The sequence below is a fragment of the Homo sapiens genome, chromosome 15 (assembly GCF_000001405.40).
Source record: "Homo sapiens chromosome 15, GRCh38.p14 Primary Assembly".
Taxonomy (NCBI): Eukaryota; Metazoa; Chordata; class Mammalia; order Primates; family Hominidae; genus Homo; species Homo sapiens.
Window position 1 is genome coordinate 29,300,598 of NC_000015.10, and position 22,158 is coordinate 29,322,755.

Sequence of the window (22,158 nt, forward strand, 5' to 3'; positions counted from 1 at the left end):
ATAGTCTTTTTTTTCTTTTGAGATGGAGTCTCGCTCTGTCAGCCAGGCCGGAGTGCAGTGGTGCGATCTCGGCTCACTGCAACCTCCACCTCCCGGGTTCACACCATTCTCCTGCCTCAGCCTCCCGAGTAGCTGGGACTACAGGCACCTGCCACCATGCCCGGCTAATTTTTTGTATTTTTAGTAGAGACGGGGTTTCACCATGTTAGCCAGACAGTCTCGATCTCTTGACCTCGTGATCTGCCTGCCTGGGCCTCCCAAAGTGCTGGGATTACAGGCATGAGCCACTGTGCCCGAACAGAACATAGTCTTAATATGCTCCTTTTATTTCCATTTAAAAAATAATTTCTATACAGGTAAATATGTGTGGATATGCATCATCAGTGTTTTCTGAAAGAAGTAAAAAACACTATTCATAATGGAAGTTCTAGGGAGAAGGACTGAAATACAGGTGGGAAGGATGCCTTACTTTTCCATTTAGCACTTTTCTGCAAAGTTTGGATTTTCTAACCATGCTACTCATATTTTTATTTTAAAATATCAACAGGAGTTTTTTGACAGTATGATCATGGACTATTTAAAACAGTTTTTCTTTACAATTCTTGCTACCTAAAATAATACTTGTTATAAAATAAAAAATAAGGGTAATTTTATTTAACAGAATCGAGAAAAGCAATGCTAGTTTTTAAGGACTTCCTTGAATCACTGAGAGGTCTTCTTTTGTCACATAAGGATTAGATAATGTTCAATATTTTCTATCTGCTAAGGCAGAAGTACTTTTACTTATGCATGTCCTTAGAGTTTTCAGTAACAAAAATTTCAGATAATCAGAGCACTTTGTTCTCTACACCGTCTGCTTTTCTGTGATTTTACGGTAATAGGCAGTATAACAGAGTTGACAGAAAAACACTTAGTAAATAAATATGGTTTAAAACTTTTTATACTAAGTTTTATGTCTGATTCTGTGTCTCCAGATACTACCTTTGACTAAGGAGAGGCATGGTTGTACGTTCAATGATGGCTCCCTGGGAATGACCCAATGGAAGTAGCATTTTGGAAACCCTGGTTCTGTAATCTGAACGTTGTGGCCCATGAGATTAACATATAGAAACCTAATTCCCAGTGTGATAGTATTAAGAGGTGAGGTCTTTGGAAAGTGATTAAATCATGAGGGCGTAACCTTAATGAATGGAATTAGTGTCCTTATAAAAGAGGCTCCAGAGAACTTCCCAGCCCCTTCCACCATGTGAGGACACAGCGAGGAGGTACCATCTATGAAGCAGAAGGTGAGCCCTTGCCAGACACCAAATCTGCTTGTGCCTTCATGTTGGACTTCTAACCCTCCTGAACTGTGAGCAATAAATGTCTATGGTTTGTAAGTTACCCAGCCTATGGTATTTTGTTATAGCAGCCTGAACAAACTAAGACACCCGGGGTCTTTGTTTGTTAACTATGCATATTGAAGCTCTAAACCCATGCCCATTTCCCTGTTTTTTTCATTTTTGATGTTTGCTCAGTTTGTGGCCCATTTTCACTCTTCATCTTCATATTGCAAATATCTGATATGACAGTCGAGTGGAAGCTTCTCTTCCAATAAGACCATGTAACAAAAATGGAAAACCAAAACTATTCTGAAAAAAGCCATTTAAAAAATGCATACCAAGATTTTAAAAAAATTCCTGTTAAATTTATCATGAGTCCAAGCTGTTCATTCAACTTATCGTCTTGGTATTTGATACAAAAAATCCCCATTCACTGACTTTTTAAAAAGTAGAATGATGCTGGTGAGTTAAGGAGGTATAGAGTCCCATGTTTTAAAGGAAGATGCAGCTCACTCACACTGCAGCAATATCCTTTGCCGGCTGAAGCAAAATAAAAATCAGTTCTACTGAAAGTTGATAAAGTTTAAGTCCATTAACAGCGAGAGTACTTTATATTAGATTTGCAAATGAATGAGAAATTAATGGAGAAAAGAGCTCTCACAATAGCTTCAAAATGGGCATATTTATAACCCTATTCTGCTTGCCAAAAATAATTACATCCCATTTTTTTCTGCCAACCATTTAAACTCATTTCATAGAAAACGGAAAAAGAGGGTTGGTGCAAATGGGATGTTTCCCGCAAGAAAGAAGAACGGTTTTGGAACCCTTGAGCAATTTGCAAGGCGTGTCAATTTTGGAACGCTCTGTCTTGAAATATTCGCTTTTTTTATGTTTATTTGTTTACCTATTGTTTATTCTCCAAATCAATTACACAACATTTATTTCCAAATGCCACAATAATGGAAGACTGGCATCACATTTGGAATTGATTCTAATGCTGCACAGCCGCCTGCTGAGGATCCTGATCCGGTTCATGAGCTGAGGCTGATCCCAGCGACCCCAGACCTGACCAACTCTGCATTACCCAGGGAGGAGCAGGCCAGTCTGAGCAGACTCAAAGGGGCCGCTTCTACTCGGAGCCACTTTGCATCCACTCCACCCTAAGCTTCTAAGATACTTCGGAGCCCACACGACACTCCTTCACAGGGGCTGGGTGGCCTGGCCTGCCACTTGAAATATGGGGCTGCTGGCACCTGCTGTATCCTTCTCAGCCCCAGGCATAGCTGCTGAAAAGGTGACAGGAAGAGTCTATTTTCATGTCATCACTTAGTTTGTATTTGTTTGCAGCTATTTCAGCCTTTTACATTTGTATTATGCATTCTGAACAAGTTGCTATTTGTTTTCTTAGTTGATGTAGTCAGCTGCACAGAAATGCTTAATGCTTTTCTCAGATGATTCCAACCAAACTGACTTTGATTTCAGACAGATAGCCCATGGCCATGCTGACACATAAAACCAACCATGACACTGGGTTTTTTTTCAGCCTTTTATTTTTTTTTTAGGTTTAGGGACACATGTTATAGGGGTACTTTTTTTAGGTTTAGGGGTACACTGTCATAGAGCTAAATGGCATGTTGTTGGGGGTTGTTGTGCAGGTTATTTTGTCACCCAGGTGATTAAGCACAGTACCCGACAGGTAGTGTTTTGATCCTAACCCCCCTCCCCCACCCTCCACCCTGAAGTAGGCCCCAGTGTCTATTACTCCCTTCTTTGTGTCCATGTGTACCCAATGTTTAGCTCCCATTTATAAGTGAGAACATGTGGTATTTGGTTTTCTGTTCTTGCATTAATTTGCTTAGGATAATGGCCTCCAGTTCCATCTATGTTGCTGCAAAGGACATGATCTCATTCTTTCTTACGGCTGCATAGTATTCCATGGTTTATATGTACCACATTTTCTTTCTTTTTTCTTTATTTTTGAGATGGAGTCTCACTCTGTCACCCAGGCCGGAATGCAGTGGCGTGATCTCGGCTCACTGCAACCTCCACCTCCCAGGTTCAGGCGATTCTCTTGCCTCAGCCTCCCAAGTAGCTGGGACTACAGACAGCTGCCACCATGCCCTGCTAATTTTTGTGTATTTTTAGTAGAGATGGGGTTTCACCATGTTGGCTAGGCTCATCTTGAACCTCTGACCTCGGGTGATCTGCCTGCTTTGGCCTCCCAAAGTGCTGGGATTACAGGTGTGAGCCACCGCACCCGGCTGTATGGCATTTTCTTTATCAACACTCCACTGAAAATATTGAACAGATCATCGAGGCAGAAAACTAACAAAGATATTTGGGACCTGAACTTGACACCTGACCAAATGGACCTAACAGACATCTACAGAACTCTCCACCCAAAATTAAGAGAATGTACATTCTTCTCATCTGCACATGGCACATACTCTAAAACTGACCACACAATCAGCCATGAAACAATTCTCAACAAATGCAAAAAAACTGAAATCATAGCCACCACACTATCAGACCACAGTGCAATAAAAATAGAAATTAACACTAAGAAAATCACTCAAAACCATACGACTACATGGCAAACAACCATGACACTGTTACAGCCATCTTACCTGTTCCCTCCTTCAAGACCTCCCTTGCAGCCTGCTCTCAACTCACCAACCAGAGTGGGCCTTTAAAAAATTAAGCCAGGCAATGACACTCTCTGCTTAACACCTCCCAGTGGCTCCCTACAGCACACAGAGTAAAAGGCAGAGGACTTAGATTGACTTACAAGGCCCTGCAGTTTCCTTCCCTCTCCCTTCCTCTATGATCCCCTCTCTTTCCTCCCCACTGCTCACTTCCCTCTAGCCACAGGGCCTCCTGGTTGCTCTTAGAACTGTCAGTCCCACTCAGGGCCTCCGTACTGACTATTCCCTCTGCCTCAGACATTGCAAGGCAAACTCCTTCACCTCCTCACTCCCTCACTTGGCTCAAGAGTCACATGCTCAATCAGCTCTGCTGTCACCATCCTATTTACAATGATAGTTTCTGCCCCCATCACTCCCTCAGCCAACTGTACCACGTTCTACTTTCTAACAGACGTTACCATTTTTAGTCTATTACTATATGCCTTCATTAGGATGTGAGCTCCATGAGGGCTGAGATCTTGGTCTGATTTGTTCCCTGATCTATCTCAAATCCTCAAAACAGTGTTAATAGTTGAAAAGCACTCAATAAATATTGGTTGAATGAACAAATAAAGGGCTTATCAAATGCAAAGATAAATTTTTCATTTAAATTCTCTGCCAGAATTTCTGGTTCCAGAAGATGGGCAGAGGACAAGTCATACTGGAGCTTGCACGGCACAATGAGTTCAGAAGACTATTCTGAGTGAGACTGGAAGACAAATGAGAATTTTGAACTGGGGAGTGACATGAGGTGACTTACAGGTTTTTAAAAGTTCATCATGGCTTCTGTGTGGTGCACAGGATTCAAAGGCAGGAGTAGCGCCAGGGAGAGTATTTCAGCTGCCTTGGTCCAGCAAGAGATTAAAGTGGTTCAGACCAGAGAAGCTGTGCTGGAGGTGATGAGAAGTGGCTGGACCCTGGATATACTACGAAGGCAGAGCTAACAGGTCTTGTTGATGCACTTTGCTGAGAGGGAGAGGAAGAGAGGGAGTGGCGAGAGTCAAGGGTAACTGTTGAAGTTTTGGCCTCAGAAACTGAGTAAATGGCAGTATCCATTACTGGGACAGAACAGAGGGGAGAAGAACAGACTTGGGAGTGGAATCAAGAATTCTGCTTTGGATGTGTTAAAATGGAAATGCCTACCAGACATCCATATGGAGGTGCTGACTGGCCAGTTGGATACATGAGTCTGGAGCCCAAAAAAGAAGCTGAACTAAAGATAGTTTTTAAAGCCATGGGTCTGGTTGAAATCCCATTAGAGAGAGAAGCTGGATAGAGAGGAAGACTCGGGGCTTCGTGCTGAAGCACTTCCCCTTTAGGAAGAAAAGCCAGCAAGAGGGGCTAAAGAAGCAGCCAGTGAGGTAGGGAAGGGCTGAGCAGCTCTACCGAACTGGAAGCCACATGGAGCATGTGTTTCAAATGTTGCTGTGGGGTCAGGTGAGAAGAGTCTAATCACTGACTGCGGGATTTGGCCATATGAGGGCCTTGGGGCCCCAGGCAGCGCTGCGATACCCCAGTGGGTTGTTGGTGATCCTTCAGGATGGGAAGCAGTGCCCACTGGGGCAAGTAGGGTGGTACAGGCTGACTGTGGGAGGCGCAGGGCTCAGGGAAACCTGAGCATTCAGCATAGACAGGAACCTGGAGTCAGGATGACAAGGAAAATCTCCTGAATTGGGCACAAGGATCCTTGGGGGGGATGAGGAAGAGGAATTGAGCATGCTGCATTTCCTAAATGTGGGGCATTGGGGTGCAAGGCGGTGCACCTGAATATGAAAGGAAATAGCCATCCTATAATTCCAGAAGCTTGAAGACACCAAGAGAGTTACACTCACAGAGAAGAAAAAGGTTTGCTTTTCTCATGGAAAAGGTTATATGTAACAAGTTTAGGATACCACATGACAATGTCTTAGTTTTAATTAACTTTTATAATTCAGCACATTTTTAAAAGCACATACTTGTATTTCTGATAATGCTATGCCAGGTTTTTACACTTGTTTCATATTTTTTCTCAAGAGGAAGTTATAGTAGTGTATCTAAGATATACTGAAAAATAATTGGTAATTTTTTTTTTTTTTTTTTTTTTTTTTTTTTTTTTTTTTTTTTGGAGATAGAGTCTTGCTCTGCCACCCAGGCTGCAGTGCAGTGGTGTGATCACCCAGGCTGGAGTGCAGTGGCGTGATTACCCAGGCTGGAGTGCAGTGGCGCGATCTCAGCTCACTGCAACTTCCGCCTACCTGGTTCAAGTGGTTCTCCAACCTCAGCCTCCTGAGTAGCTGGGACTACAGGCGCATGCCACCATGCCTGACTAATTTTTTGTACATTTTAGTAGAGACAGGGTTTCGCCATGTTGCCCAGGCTGGTCTCAATCTCCTGAGATCAGGCAATCCACCCTCCTCGGCCTCCCAAAATGCTGGGATTACAGGAGTGAGCCACTGCACCCAGCTGGCAAATATTCTTTTTTATTTTTAAGTTCATTTGCCAAGAACTCAATTATTTATAGTGGTACTTCTCTCTAGCTTTCTGTAACTAAATGAGAACATTAATTTCAAATGTATCTCTCTACTAAAATCATACAGGGTGTTCTATCCTTCCTTTTATACAAAAAAAATTGACAATTATCTGACGAAATAGGAAAATTTGAACAGCCATGTTTTAAAAGCTGATCATGTCATGCTTCAGCTAACATAAAAAAAAAAAACCTGAAGTCAAAATAAACGTTTAAATAACCTGAACATGCTGATAATTGACATTGCTTTCTATCATAATCATCACTTTAACACTGAAAGATGAAGAACTTGCTAGTGGTTTAAGGTAGATCAGGCATTGGATACAGATCCTTCCCATTGGTGTTTACTATCCAACTGCAAGAGATATTGGATGAAATATGAACATAGCAAAACATTTAAAAAGGAGAAATTAGATTTAGAGAAAAAACTAACTTACCTATTGCTATGGACTAAAGTGTGCCCTCTCCATTCATATGTTGAAGCCTTAACCACCAATGTGACTATATTTAGAGATAGGGTCTTTAGTAGGTACTTCAGGCTAACTAAGATCACAAGGGTAGGGTCCTGACCCACAAGGATTGGTGGCCTTAGAAAAGAAGAAAGAGACAGAGACCTCTCTCTCTCTACCTGCACACACATGGAGAAAAGGCTATGTAAAGACACAGTGGGAAGGCGGCCGTCTGCAAGACAGGAAGCAAGTCCTCACGAGAACCAGACCATGCTGCCACTTTAATCTTGGACTTTCCAGCCTCCAGAACTGAGAAAAACTAAATTTTTGTGTTTAATCCACCCAGTTTACATTATTTTGTTATGACACCCCAAGATGACTAAAATACCTATTAATGAGTTTTTAAAAAATTATTTTAGAAGAGAAACAATATGTTGGGTTGTAATGTCAACAAATAAGTAATAATGTGTTTATATATTTCTATGATTTTTCTGAGAGAGAAAAATTTTAAATTGAGTAAATTTCTCCCCCTAGGATGCCTGTCTACAGATTACTTCTTCCATAAACTCTGACCTCAACAATTACTCCTAACAGGAATTCGAACTGTCTTGATGCTTGACCAGCCTGGCCAACACAGTGAAACCCCGTCTCTACTAAAAATACAAAAATTAGCCGGGTGTGGTGGCTCACGCCTGTAATCTCAGCTAATCAGCAGGCTGAGGCAGGAGAATTGCTTAAGCCAGGGAGGTGGAGGTTGCAGCAAGTGGAGATCATGCCACTGCACTCCAGCCTGGCTGACAGAGACTCTGTCTGAAAAAAAAGAAAAAAGGAAAGCGTGGTGACTTGTTTTAGACACTTTCACTACTGATAATGACAGTTCACAGGACCAGGCAAAGCAGAGACTCGGCACAGTGCCACAGGGAGACCCTGTCCTGGGCGCCGAGTGGACCTGCCCCTGAGTCAGCTGCCTCCCCTTACCAGCGGTGCGGCCCTAGCGCTCACTGCATTTCCTCCCACCCCTAGTTTCTTCCTCAGCAACACAGGGATAGGAGCTCCCTTGCAGGTGACTGGAGGCAGTGAATGGTCCACATATATAAAGCAGCTGCAGTGGTACCTTGCACATAACAGGAATTATTTTTAGAATGACGTTGAAGATGTTCAGAATACCCAACCCCAACATATGGAGCTCTGGCATACTGTTTTCAGTTAAAGACCCTTGAAAAACAGCAGAGGCAAGAAGGACATTCTAATCACCCCTTTTCTTCCTGAAAATAGGAGATAAACATTGCCATGTGAAAGATGTCCTCCCTCACCAGGAGAATGAAACATTCTTCGATGGGGAGGAAGAGCCAAGAGACCCTGTGAAATGATTCTTACTCCTTCAGCCTCCCCACACAGTGTACCTGTCCCCAGCTGCCTCTCTTTGTCCATCTTGGTATAAAAGCATTTGTGTTTTGCTACTTCTCTGGGTCTTCATTTCCTTATGAGGGCTCCTGAGTCACATAAAACATATATAAATTGGTGTGCTTTTTCCTATTAATCTGTCTTGTGTCAATTTAATTCACAGGCCCAGCTGAAAACCCTAGGAGATTAGAGGTGAAATTCTGTCTCCCCTATAATTGAATGTATTATAACACAAAAATATACTCAGAAAGAAGTCATTAATTTGAGTATAGTGATAATGATAGCTATCAGAGTAATCCCTTTTAAAATAGTTTCAGTTCCTGTAATACCAAGGCCCACTCACATGTTGTAGTATTGTTACCACTGTCGCGGTAATTAGTTTCCATGACACAAAATCACCTCACTTGCTTTCCCACAGAGGCAGCAATATGCTAAAAGAGCAGACTCTAGACCAGGTCTCCCGGGGTCCAAGTCAAGTGTGTGTTGATGACCTTCCCTGAACCCTGGCTTTCTTCTCTATAGAAAGTGCTCAGTGGGCCAAGCACGGTGGCTCACGCATGTAATTCCAGCACTTTGGGAGGACAAGGCAGGTGGATCACTTGAGGTCAGGAGTTTGAGACCAGCATGGCCAGCACGGCCGACATGGCAAAACCCCGTTTCTACTAAAAATACAAAAAATTAGTCGTGTGTGGTGCTGGCATCTGTAATCTCAGCTACTTGGGAGGCTGATGCAGGAGAATTACTCGAACCCGGGAGGCAGAGGTTGCAGTGAGCTGAGATCATGCCACTGCACTCCAGCCTGGGAGACAGAGTAAGACTCTGTCTCAAAAAAAAAAAAAAAGTGCTCAGTGGTAATGCCTATCCCATAGGACGACTGTGAGATTTTGAACAATAACATATGTCATGCCTGTGCTTGAAGCCTGGCATGCATGGCCCTCAGGAAATGTGTACACTGACCTGGGCATAGGACTGAGACTGTCAGAGGGAAACACGGGGCCTGGGAGTAGACCCTGCATGCTCCGAGGGTCTGCTTCCATGTGACGTGGACTGAAGGTCCCTCTCCTGATTCTTCATGAGATGAGCCAGACAAACATCTTATGAGTGTCACCAGCAGCAATCAAGACAGGAAGAAAGGGGCATCATGTCCTGTCATGAACTAGAAAGGGGGGGCAGGACAGAAATAAGTGGAGAAAAGGAGATCCTGAAGGTTCCATGTCCTCCCCAGCCCTCACCTATGTGAGCACAGGTGAGCAGACAGAAGCTGAGAATTCGCACTAATACCTTCAAGTCTGGGGTGATGGGGTCTGAGTTGGGTGCAGGTAGTTCTAGGACAATTTTTTAAAATCTCTTTAAAACAGAAGCTCCTACGCAGCAACTCAGGAGCTCAACCAAGAAAGAAAGGGCCAGGACTGAGGGACGGATGACGCTCACTGGAGCAGAACTGCCCTGGCTCGGTCAAGGGGACATCTCTAGGGAGGTCCTCAGAGGGAAGAGCAAGAACCCAAGACCTAGCAAGGATGTGCTCAGCCCCTGGGGGATCTCCCCACCCTGTCCTAAGTTAGACAGTCAAGGCCAAAGGCAACATCCATGTCTGAAATGGAGCCTCTGACAGGAGAAGAGAAACTGGCCCTGGTGGGTCTGAAGGCTGTCGGGGCAGGGAAGAATTGTCCGGGCCAAGCCCAGGAGCACAAGGAGAGTGGGTACATCAAGGTGCATGGAAGCACACCACAGCTTATTTGGCAAACAGAAGGTCAGCAGAAACAGAGCTTGAAAATGGGGAAAGAAACATCAACCCAGACGCCAAAGCTCCCCACAAGAACTTCATGGAACCTAATACACACATAAACTTAACAAAGGAAGGACTCAAAGTGAGAAAAACAAGACTATGATGAAAAGAAAGCTAGAGACAGAACTAAGGAAACCAATTACAGCGTGAGAATTAAAACCCCATCACTGCAAATCTAGTAAATAATTTAGAAACAGCAAGGAACAGAGTAGACATGAGTGAAAATTCAAGATAATGGCATGGGGGAAGGTGTGAGATCTCCACAGTAATTTTGTAGAAGAAGGAAGAGACAAATTACAATGAAGAGGACCCGTAAGGAGATTGGGAATTTTTTTTTTTAACTCTAGAAACAAATGTGCTTTGTGATGAGAGACCTGTAATCTAAAATTTAGTATTCTCTCTTCAGTTTCATTTCAATTCTCCTGTTAATTTCAAACAAAGACAATTTTTTAAAACATACACATTATTCTTCCATAGCTTGTGTCTTGTATCATTATATGATCGATAGATTTCTGAATTTATGACCACATAACAGTCTGATCGTTTCTGGATGGTATACTTCTGGGTAATTCATTGCCTTTGCTGTTGTACTTTTCTGTATTTGCTTAAATAATTTATGAGAGACATGCATTGTTTTTTATTTTTAAAAGTATAATCTTGGCCAGATATGGTGGCTCACACGGGTAATCCCAACATTTTGGGAGGGCGAGGTGGGCGGATCACTTGAGATCAGGAGTTCCAGCCCAGCCTGGCCAACATGGCGAAACCCTGTCTCTACTAAAAATACAAAAATTAGCAGGGTGTGGTGGTGCACATCTGTAATCCCAGCTACTCAGGAGGCTGAGGCAGGAGAGTCGCTACAACCTGGGTGGTAGAGGTTGCAGTGAGCTGAGATCGTGCCACTGCACTCCAGCCTGGGTGACCGAGTGAGACTCCATCCCCCCCCCAAAAAAAAGTATGATCTTTAAAGGGAAGAAAATCCACTCAACATTCTTTCAATAAGTAGATATTACACACTATATTGTAGGCACTGGGATTATGAGCTAGGCCAAGACCTTGCCCAGCTTCCAGATAAAGTCATGGAGGTTATAGATTCAGGAAGACAAACATTACTCCAAATACAGTTCATTCCAGAAATGCAAGAGTGATTCAGCATTAGCATATAGTCCATCCTGTTAACAGAGCTAAAGAGAAAAATTATATGATCATCTCTACAGATGCACCAAAGGTATGTGAAAAAATCAGCATTCATTCCTATGAGAAACAACAAAACAGAAACTGAGGGATAGGATAAAGTCATGCCTAACAAGATAGAAAATACATATTTATGCAACACATACCTAACCTCAAAAGCCAGCATCTTAATTAACAAAGAAAAACTAACTTTTCCTGCTACAGTCTGGAACAAGACAAGCACTCACTCTTTAACACTGGGTCTGAAGTATTAGCCCATGTACTTAGACAAGAGAAATCAACTGTAGAAATAACATTCATGAAAGAAGAAGTTAAAATTATCTTTATTTGCAGAGCATATGTTTATGTACTCACATGTGGAAAAACAAAAGAATCCCCACAAAACAAGCACCAAAAAAAAAAAAGAAAGAAAATCTAATAAGAAAGCTGGTTGTATAATAAATATAGGCATACCTTGTTTTATTGTTCTTCACTTTATCATGCTTCACAGATGTTGAGTTTTTTTACGGATTGAAGGTTTGTGGCAGCCCTATATTGAGTAAGTCTATGAGCAACATTTTTCCAACATCATGTGCTTACTTTGTCTCTGAGTCATATTTTGGTAATTCTCAGTACATTTCAAACTTTTTCATTATTACTATATCTGATATAGTGGCCTGTGATCAGTGACCCTTGAAGATACTATTATAATTGTTTTGGGGCTCCATGAACTGTGCCCATATAAGGCAGTGAACTTAACTGAGAAATGCATGTGTTCTGATTGCTTCATAGGCTGGCCGTTCCCCTGCCTATCTGTTCCCTGAGACACAACAATATTGAAATTAAGCCAATTAATAACTCTACAATGGTCTCTAAATGTTCAAGTGAAAGGAAGGGTCACACGTTTCTCATTTTAAATCCAAAGCTAGAAGTGATTAAGCTTAGTGAGGAAGGCATGTTAAAAGACAAGAGCAGCCAAAAGCTAGGCCTCTTGCACCAGTTAGCAAGTTGTGAATGCAAAGGAAAAGTTCTCGAAGGAAATTAAAAGTGCTACTCCAGTGAACACACGAATGATCAAGAAAACAGCCTTATCGCTGATTTGGAGAAACTATGAGTGGTCTAACAGAAGATCAAACCAGACACAACATTCCCTTAAGCCAAAATCTGATCCACAGCAAGGCCCGAACTCTCTTCAGTTCAATTCAATGAGGATGAGAGAGGTGAGGAAGCTGCAGATGAGAATTTGAAGCTAACAGAGGTTGGTTCCTGAAGTTTAAGAAGCTGAGGCAGCAAATGCTGATAACCTGCAAGTCCAGAAGATCCAGCTAAGATAACTGATGAAGGTGGATACATGAAACAACAGATTTTCAGTGTAGACAAAACAGCCTTATACTGGAAGAAGATGCCATCTAGGACTTTCATAGCTAAAGAGGGAAAGATGACGCCTGGCTTCAAAGCTTCAAAGGACAGACTGACTCTCTTGCTAGGAGCTAATGCAGCTGGTCACTTAAAGTTGAAGCCAATACTCAACCATTCTGAAAGTCCCATGGCCCTTAAGAATTATGCTAAATCTATTTCACCTGTGCACTAGAACTAGCCCAACAAAGCCTGGATGACAACATATCTGTTTAAAGCATGGTTTACTTAATATTTCAAGCCCACTATTGAGACCTAACGCTCAGAAAAAAAATATGCCTTTCAAAGTATTACTGTTTATTGACAATACACCTAAGAGCCCTGATGGAGATGTACAAGAAGGTTAATGTCATTTTTCTGCCAGCCAATACATCTACTCTGCAGCCCACGGGTCAGGGAGTAACTCACTTTCAAGTCTTATTATTTAAGAAATGCATTTCACAAAGCTAGAGATGCCATACATAGTGATCCTGTAATAAATCTGGGTGGAGTAAATTGACAACCTTCTGGAAAGGATTCACCATTCTAGGTGCCATTAAGAACATTTGTGATTCATGGGAGGAGGTCAAAATAGCTACATTAACAGGAGTTTGGAAGAAGTTGATTCCAATCCTCACAGGTGACCTTGAGGTTTTCAAAATTTCCGTGGAGGAAGTAATCACAGATGTGGTAGGAACAGCAGGAGAATTAGAATTAGAAGTGGAGCCTAAAGATGTGGCTAAATTGTTGCAATCTCATGAGAAAACTTTAATGGACAAGCAGCTGCTTCTTATGGATGAGCAAAGAAAGTTGTTTCTTGAGATGGAATCTACTCTTGGTGAAGATACTGCAGACATTATTGAAATGACAACAAAGGGTTTAGAATATGATATAAACTTAGTTCATAAAGCAGCAGCAGGGTTAGAGGACTGACTCAAATTTTGAAAAAAGCTCTACTGTGGGTAAAACGCTATCAAACAGCATTGCATGCTACGGACAAATCTTTTGTAAAAGGAAGAGCCAATCAATGCAGCAAACTTCATCACTGTCTTATTTTCAGAAATTGCCACAGCCACCCCAACCTTCAGCAACCACCACCAATTAGTCAGCAGCCATCAGCATCTAGGCAAGACCCTCCACCAGCAAACAGATGACAACTTGCTGAAGGCTCAGATGACTGTTAGCATTTTTGAGCAATAAAGTATTTTTAATCAAGGTATATGTATAATTTTTTTAGACATATGCTGTGGCACACTTAATAGGCAACAGTATAATGTAATCATAGTTTTATATGTACTGGGAAACTAAAAAATTGGTGACTTGCTTTATTGTGATATTCGCTTTATTGCACTGGTCTGGAACTAAACCTGCAATATCTCTGAATTATGTCTGTATACAAAAATCAATAATGTTTATCCATAACATAGATAAACAGTTAGAAAATGTAATAGAAGGCCAGGTGCAGTGGCTAATGTCTGTAATCCCAGCACTTTGGGAGGCCGAGGCGGGTGGATCGCTTGAGCTCAGGAGTTTGAGACGATCCTGGGCAACATGGTGAAACCCCGCCTCTACCAAAAATACAAAAATTAGCCAGGTGTGGTGGTGCACACCTGTAGTCCCAGCTACTTGGGAGGCTGAGGCAGGAGAATTGTTTGAGCCTGGCAGGCGGAGGTTGCAGTGAGCCGAGATCGTGCCACTGCACTCCAGCCTGGTGACAGAGCGAGACTTTGTCTCAAAAAAGAAAGAAAATGGTGACATGCTTGTGAAAGTAAAGAGTATTTTGAATAAATGGAAAGAAATATATTCTTGGATAAGAAGATACAACAGCAAAGAGATGTTAATTCTCCTAAAGTTAATCTATAAATTTAATGCCATATTGATTAAAAAAAATCATCATTGTCTCCTAGAAGCTAGGCAAACTGATTATATAGTTCTTGGAAGAACAACTAAGCAAGAATCACAAAGGAAACTCCATAAAAGATCAATAAGGAAGGCTAGCCCTTCCAGATATTAAAATGTATTTAAAGCCCCCCTCTTGGCCGATGAATTGACAGACCAATAAAATAAAACGGAAATATCCAGAAACAAACACATTTGTCTATGGTAATTTAGTATATGACAAAGGGGTCATTTAAAATAATTGAGGGAAACATACACTTTTCATAAGTAGTACTGATAAATCCAGATGGGATGGCCATATGGAAAAAGAAAAATACACATCTGTTTCTCACCAGTTATATCAGAACTGATTCCAAATAGATTAGAAACTTAAATGGAGACAGAGAGACCCCACTTTAAGTATTAGAAAAAAACATGGAATTCCTCTCTAACCGGAAAGTTGAGAAATATTTCCTATAACTCACAGTCCAAAGTAATAAGGGAAAAACTGATGAACTTAACTACATAAAATACAAATCTTTACATATGAATACTACCAGAAGCAAATAAAAAAGACAAATGAAAGACAAATGATAAACCGCATTATGCAGTAAACAGGAATAAGAAATGTCTTTATACACTGCTACAGACTGACCCCACGCGATATCACTAAGTTATAAAACCAAAGGCTGGAACAATGTGCAAGGTAGGCACACGTACATGCAGTATGTGTACAGCACATGTGCTTGCTTATAATTTAGAAATGAAAGGACAAAGCGAAAATCTAAGAGTAGTTACTATAGGGCCGGGGGGTGGGGAGACAAGGAATACAAACAGGACAGAAATGATAACTAGAATTTTCAGGGGAAAACACTTTACTGCATAGATTTGACTTTGTAACAGTAAATGTCTTATATAATTATGAAACAAAATTAAATCAAAAATTAATTAAAATCCCTAAAATCAAAAGCAAAATGAAATAAGTGAACCAGTAAAACGGGCAGGTGCCTTAACCACAGAGAGCGGTTTAAACTGACTGTAACATATCACCATTTAATTGTATATCTCAAGTGGTTTATTTCCTGAAGGATAATCAAGAGACATGGGAGCTCTGGTGGCCTCTGCTCACTGGGGCCAGCAAGGGAAAATAAAGAAGAGAGACAGAGAGACTTAAGAGACCTAACAACCCAATGCAAAAAGAGAGAAACAGGCACACAGAAATTTGAACATGAGGTATTTGATGATAAACCAAATTATTGGTATCTATTAGTTGTGATCACGGCATTGTGACTATATCATTTTAAAAATAAAAAATAAGGGCCACCTTCTCTTTTAGAGGTAGGCATGTATGTATTTTGACACAAAATAATGTGATGTCTCAGGCTTGCTTTCTTCATCCAAGGGAGAAGTGGTGGGGTACTGATGACGCAAGAATGTCCAGGAGTGGCTGGCAGCTATAGCTGAGTAATGGATGCATAGGGTTCAATATGTCATTCTCTTTACTTGTGTATATAGTTGAGATATCCACAATGTAAATGTCGAAAAATATGAAAATATGGGTTCAGATAATAACTCTGCTACTTAGTCACACAGCCAGTTTGTAAAAATTTCCTATGTTTTGGGAACCTGAATTCCTTCCTTTTAAAAAGAAGACACATAAACCTAAGTTACAAGACAAATTAGTATATGATAAAGAGGTCACTTAAAATCACTGGGGGAAACAAATATTACAAATTTGTTTTATTACATATTACAAAGCCTGTCATATAGCAGAACTAAACAAAGGCCAGTTATTTTTTATTTTGGTATGAATTTAACTATGCCAAATTACTAAAAATATTTTCCTAAACATCACATCAAAGTAAGATTTCACATGGAGTTTTAAAGAGGAAATAAAGAATGAAGCCTTTTGGTTTTATAATTACACAAAATAGCAATACTAGAATAGAACTAAATTTATGCCCAAATGTATTCCTCAATTAGTGCCCAATTCAAATACCAGATACAATGATGTTATTCTGAGTAACACCCATAAAACTACATATAACTATTACCATAAATAACATTTAATTTGTGGGACCGCAGTTGCTAAGCCTGCTGTACCTAAAACTTTGCTGACATATTCTGCCTACTGTTTCATAAAAAACACACAGTAATCAGATTAGGTCAATTAGAAAGCTACAGGCAAAACATTGTTCCCTTTCAAATGTCCTGGTAAATAGAATAATTTTAAAATGAAGAAATATTTGAATCAAAATAGTCAGGAACAGACCTCAAAGCATTAAAGAACTAGATCTTTATACTCTCGAGAGTTGCATTCAAAGACTCAATCAAATTCAAGTTCATCACATATGCAAAACGGAACACGAATCTCCCATTAAAATTATCATAACTGCTGGCTTATTAAAATGCTTGAGTGCATTAGACATAGCATAGAAAAATTCAATATAATATCACTCCAATAATGTTTCTATATTAATCTAGAAAACATGGGGAATGGCCCTAAAGCAAAAAGTGCTGCTACAGGCTCATGCAGAATTGAACTTATGGCTGTTGAGGCCAACCCACCTCAAAGAGGCAAAAACTGTCACAGCAGCAAGATCCAGAGGCCTTCATCCGACCCGGGTGGGATGAAGAGAAGAATTCTCAGCACTGACCCACAGAAGGAGGCGGGAGGCTGTGGTGAGATGAACAGACTAGCGCCCACTCTGGCTAGCTCTCAAGGTGAGATGAGGGTGTGGCTTTTGCACGGTGGCAATGTCGATGATTTTGAAACCTCATGACAGTGTTTCTGAATGTCCACCGAAACATGGCTCTCACAGGCAACAAAACACTCCTGATTAGAGGTGTAAATTTTCCGCGTTTCCAGAGAGCTCTTCATATGTTGATGGAAAATTCCCAGCAACAAACTTGAAGGAGTAATTGCAGGCAGGCCGTGTTTTATTGCACTTCGTTGCATTGCACTGCACAGATACTGCGTTGTTGATAAATTGAAGGTTTGTGGCAACCCTGCAAGGTGCAAGTCTATCAGCATCATTTTTCTCACAGCGTGTGCTCACTTCATGTCTCTCTGTCGGTATATTTTAGCAATGAAGTATTTTTAAATTAAGGTATGTACACTTTTTTTTTTGTTTTTTGTTTTTTGAGACGGAGTTTTGCTCAGTCACCCAGGCTGGAGTGCAGTGTCGCGATCTCAGCTCACTGCAAGCTCCGCCTCCTGGGTTCACGCCATTCTCCTGCCTCAGCCTCCCGAGTAGCTGGGACTACAGGCGCCTGCCAGCACACCTGGCTAATTTTTTGTATTTTTAGTAGAGACGGGGTTTCACCGTGTTAGCCAGGATGGTCTCGATCTCCTGACCTCGTGATCCGCCCACCTCGGCCTCCCAAAGTGCTGAGATTAAGGGTGTGAGCCACCACGCCCGGCCAAATTAAGGTATGTACACTTTTTAAAGATACAATGCTACTGCACACCTACTAGACTACAGCTTAGTGTAATCGTAACTTTGATATGCTCTGGGAAACCAAAGGATGTGTGTGACTTGCTTTATTGTGATAACCGTCTTATTGCAATAGTCTGCAACAGAACCCACAAGCTCTCCAAGGTAGGCTTATACATTTTCCTATTGGTTGGCTTAGTGCAAAAGATGAACCCAAACTGGCAAAGATTAGGTAGAAACCAGTTTCTGCAAACTGAATGCTCCCTTTCTCCAGGAACATCTACCATCACATAGCCATTTCCTCTACAAAACTGTTACCAAAGAGAAGCCAATTTGTTTACAGTCATATGTAAAATTAAAAGCAACGATTAACTGTATACCACCTAAAGTACCTACTCTATTCAAAACAAAGCTATGAAAAGTAAGAACATCTCATTTTGCCATCTGCACTGCATACTCAAACCAAGGCAGAGCCCTGAGAGGAAGTGCCAGGGAGACCCTCACAACCGCCATGGGTACTGAAGACACGAGAAATAGTTAATGGCAGGCCACTTCTTACTTCACTTCAGATGAACGGAAATCTGAAGGCTTCCATGTTCTATAAACTCTTGGGTTTTCACATTAGAGACCAGTGGAGAGAAAGAGAAAGTGCAAGCCAGACCCCTGCTTTAAAGCACTGACCATTCTTTTGGAACAAGAAGCTCAGACAGCCCCAGTTTCCTCTGAAGTAGCACAAGTCAATGCAGGCTGAGTGAACAGAGGTCCTGGGTTGTTCAAGTGCCATCTAATTCCCTATTGAAATTCACTGCTGCCATCAGTCCAATGGCAGAGCATCTGTGCCCCTGGACTAGGGAAGCGGAGATGCCCAGATTTCTGACACATAAACCACTGGGTGAGAAATTCATCTGGAATAACAAATTTATCTTTAAAAAGCCAAACAAGGACATCCAGTTTCAGTTCCAACACGTAAAAAGCTTGGAGTTGTCACTCCCATCCTTATGATAAGAAAAAAGCTGAACAAACAGAAACTCAGCAACCTTTCTTGGACCCCTCAGAGAGCTGAGGTTGCAGAACAAACTGCCACTGGGAAATCTGAAGAGATGGGAATGCACAGGGTCCCGGCTGAGATCTGCTCACCTAGAGATGCTGCTGGGCCAGCCCCCAGTTGGAGCCTCCAAACGTTAATTCTGACAAATTGCTGGAGGCTGAGGGTGGACCAGCCTCCAAGTGAGACTGCTGGGGCTGCAGTTTTAGGGGGACACCCTACACTTTTGTGTGTTTTGCCTCTGAGAACATCACCAGATTCTCAGGGTTAAGAGCCCTGATGGCTGTAGCAGGGGAGGGAAAGGCTAGTCCTAGTGACAAATGAACAGAACCTTCTCCATAACAAAGGCCTGCTCTCCAACACAGTATTCCATCTGGGGGAAGGCGTTTTCCTGACCCCATGCCCGTGCAGCCTTCCTGTCTCACCTAAGGCAGGAATAAAAGGCTAGAAACGCTTGTTAAGGTGATAGCCCAGAGATACAGGCCCACTAAAAGACTGAAATTTCATCATCAGAGTAAAACACACCACACACACACCTTCCCACCACAGCAACAGGGCTGCAGTATAACTACCACAAATTACAGTTGAAGGAGCTGCTAGACACAAGAAAGCATTCTTAGGGAAATCCAAAGACAAGAAAAGGACAAAAACAAGAGAAATAGGTGAATTTGAACCCTCTGGCACCTACAGCTACAGCAAATATTAAGAGCCTAATAACAGCCATATTAATATAAAACCTCACAGGTAAGGCCTGTTTCCTTTAATTCTTATTATCTGATACACTATATTTGGTTTTCAGCAAAAAATTAGAAGGCATGGTAAAAGGCAAGGAAAAAAGTCTGAGGAGACAGAGCAAGCAACAGAACCAGACTGAGACACAGCAGAGAATTTGGAAGGACTAAATGGGGTATTTAAAACCACTGTGATGAATATGCTAAGGGCTGCAATGGGAAAAATGGACAAATATGCAAGAACAGATGGGTGGTATAAGCAGAGATGGAACGTCTGAGAAAAAATCAAAGAAAATGCTAGAAATCAAAAACACTGTAACAGAAATGAAAATTGCCTTTGATGGGCTCATAAGTAGACCAGACACAGCTGAGGAAAGAAACAGTGAGCTTGAAGATAGGTCAACACAAATGTCCCAAACTAAAGTGCAAGAAAGAATGAGAAAAAATAAAAATAAAATAACCACCATAAAACACTCAAGAACAGTTGTATAATTTCAGAAAGTGTAATATATGTATAACAGGAATATTAAAAGGCAAAAAGAGAATGGAATAGATGACACATCTAAAGTAATATAAACTGATAAACTTTCCAAATGTAATTTAATAATGATAAATTAAATTACATTTATTTTATTTAATAAAATAAGCTGATAGCTTTCCAAACAGACCCCAAACCAGAGATCAAAGAAGCTTGGAGAACCCAAACAGGATAACTATCAAAAACTCTACGCTGAGGCATCTCATTCAAAGTGCAGAAAGCCAAAGTCCAAGAGAAGATCTAGAAAGAAACCAGAGAAAAAAATAACACCTTACCATAGATGAACAAATATAAGAATTACAGTCGATTTATCATCAAAAGGCAAGCATGAAGAGCGTGGAGTATTTAAAGTGATGAAAGAAGAAATCCCACCAACCTAGACATGTATATCCAGCAAAATTATCCCATAAAAGTGAAAAAGAGGCTGGGCGCGGTGGCTCATGCCTGTAATCCCAGCACTTTGGGAGGCCAAGGCGGGTGGATCACAAGGTCAGGAGTTCGAGACCAGCCTGGCCAAGATGGTGGAATCCCATCTCAACAAACAAACAAAAAAATTAGCTGGGCATGGTGGCGGGCACCTATAATCCCAGGTACTCGGGAGGCTGAGGCAGGAGAATTGCTTGAACCCAGGAGGTGGAGGTTGCAGTGAGCTGAGATGATGCCACTGTACTCCAGCCTGGGTGACAAGAGTGAGACTCTGTCTCAAAAAAAAAAAAAGAAAAAAAAAAGTGAAAAAGAAATAAAGACTTTTTCGGAGAAAGGAAAATGCAGGAAATGTGTCACCAGCAAAGTGACCTGCAAAAAATGTTAAAAGTAGTTCTTTGCAATGAGAACATATGGACACAGGGAGGGGAACAACACACACTGGGGCCTGTTTGGGGGAGTGGGCGGGGAGGGAGAGCATTAGGAAACATCACTAATGAATGCTGGGCTTAATACCTAGGTGATGGATTGATAGGTGCAGCAAACCACTATGGCACACGTTTACCCATGTAACCAACCTGCACATCCTGCACATGTACCCCAGAACTAAAAATTAAAATTTAAATTTAAAAAAAAGGAGTTCTTTGAAGAAAGGAAAATGAAATAGGTCAGAAACTCAGATCTACACAAGGAAAGAAAAGAGCTTTGAAGAAGGAATAAATGAAGGTAAAATAAAGTCTTATTTTTCTTATTTTTTTAAAAATTTGAATATAAACTTATTTTTTAATTGACAAACTTATATATATGTATTATGCACATCATGTTGTTTTGAAATACGCATACATTGTTGAGGGGTTAAACTGAGCTAATTAACACATGCACTGCCTCACATACTTATTTTTTGTGTTAAGAACACTTAAAATATATTCTATTGGCAATTTTCAAGAATACACTACATTGTTATTACCTATAGTCACCACATTGTGCAGTAGATCTCCTGAACTTATCCCTTTTATCTAAGATAAATTTTTTATCCCCTGACCAACATCTCCTCAACCACTCATATATTTTCTTATTCTTAATTGATCTAAAAGATAACTGTTTGCTTAAAGTAATATGAAAGAAAAATAAATCCCGGGACCCTAATTCACTATGGCAAAGGGAAAAATTAAGTTGGAAGCTGAGTCACACAAGAAGCTGCCTTTCCTTTTGTTGCCCAGCAGACAGCTAAAGATAAAAGGCCAGACAGAGGCCAGCTGTCTCCACGAGTGCTGCTCTGTGTTTACTTTATCTTGTGTAAAGTGTCGACTTGCTGAGCACTAGATGAATATATAATCGATTATTTCTATGTCTCCTCCTTTTCACGTGCAACACGTGGATTCAGTGA

The 22,158-nt window shown here is 41.2% G+C and overlaps 1 protein-coding gene across 7 annotated transcripts in view, besides 2 other annotated features; it reads right to left on the bottom strand.

Moving 5' to 3' along the window:
* Positions 1–22,158, bottom strand: part of ENTREP2 (endosomal transmembrane epsin interactor 2) — a 557,698-nt gene that overhangs the window by 182,886 nt on the left and 352,654 nt on the right. The window lies entirely within an intron of this gene.
* Positions 7,698–7,777: an enhancer, noted in NCBI's record as "active region_9166". NCBI's record gives its function as "activates an Ori minimal core promoter by ATAC-STARR-seq in GM12878 lymphoblastoid cells {active_cell/tissue: GM12878}" and the evidence as "EXISTENCE:reporter gene assay evidence [ECO:0000049][PMID:35858748]".
* Positions 19,124–19,678: an enhancer, noted in NCBI's record as "OCT4-NANOG hESC enhancer chr15:29611925-29612479 (GRCh37/hg19 assembly coordinates)". NCBI's record gives its function as "activates a minimal SCP1, AML or CMV promoter by ChIP-STARR-seq in primed H9 embryonic stem cells {active_cell/tissue: H9 hESC(primed)}" and the evidence as "EXISTENCE:reporter gene assay evidence [ECO:0000049][PMID:30033119]".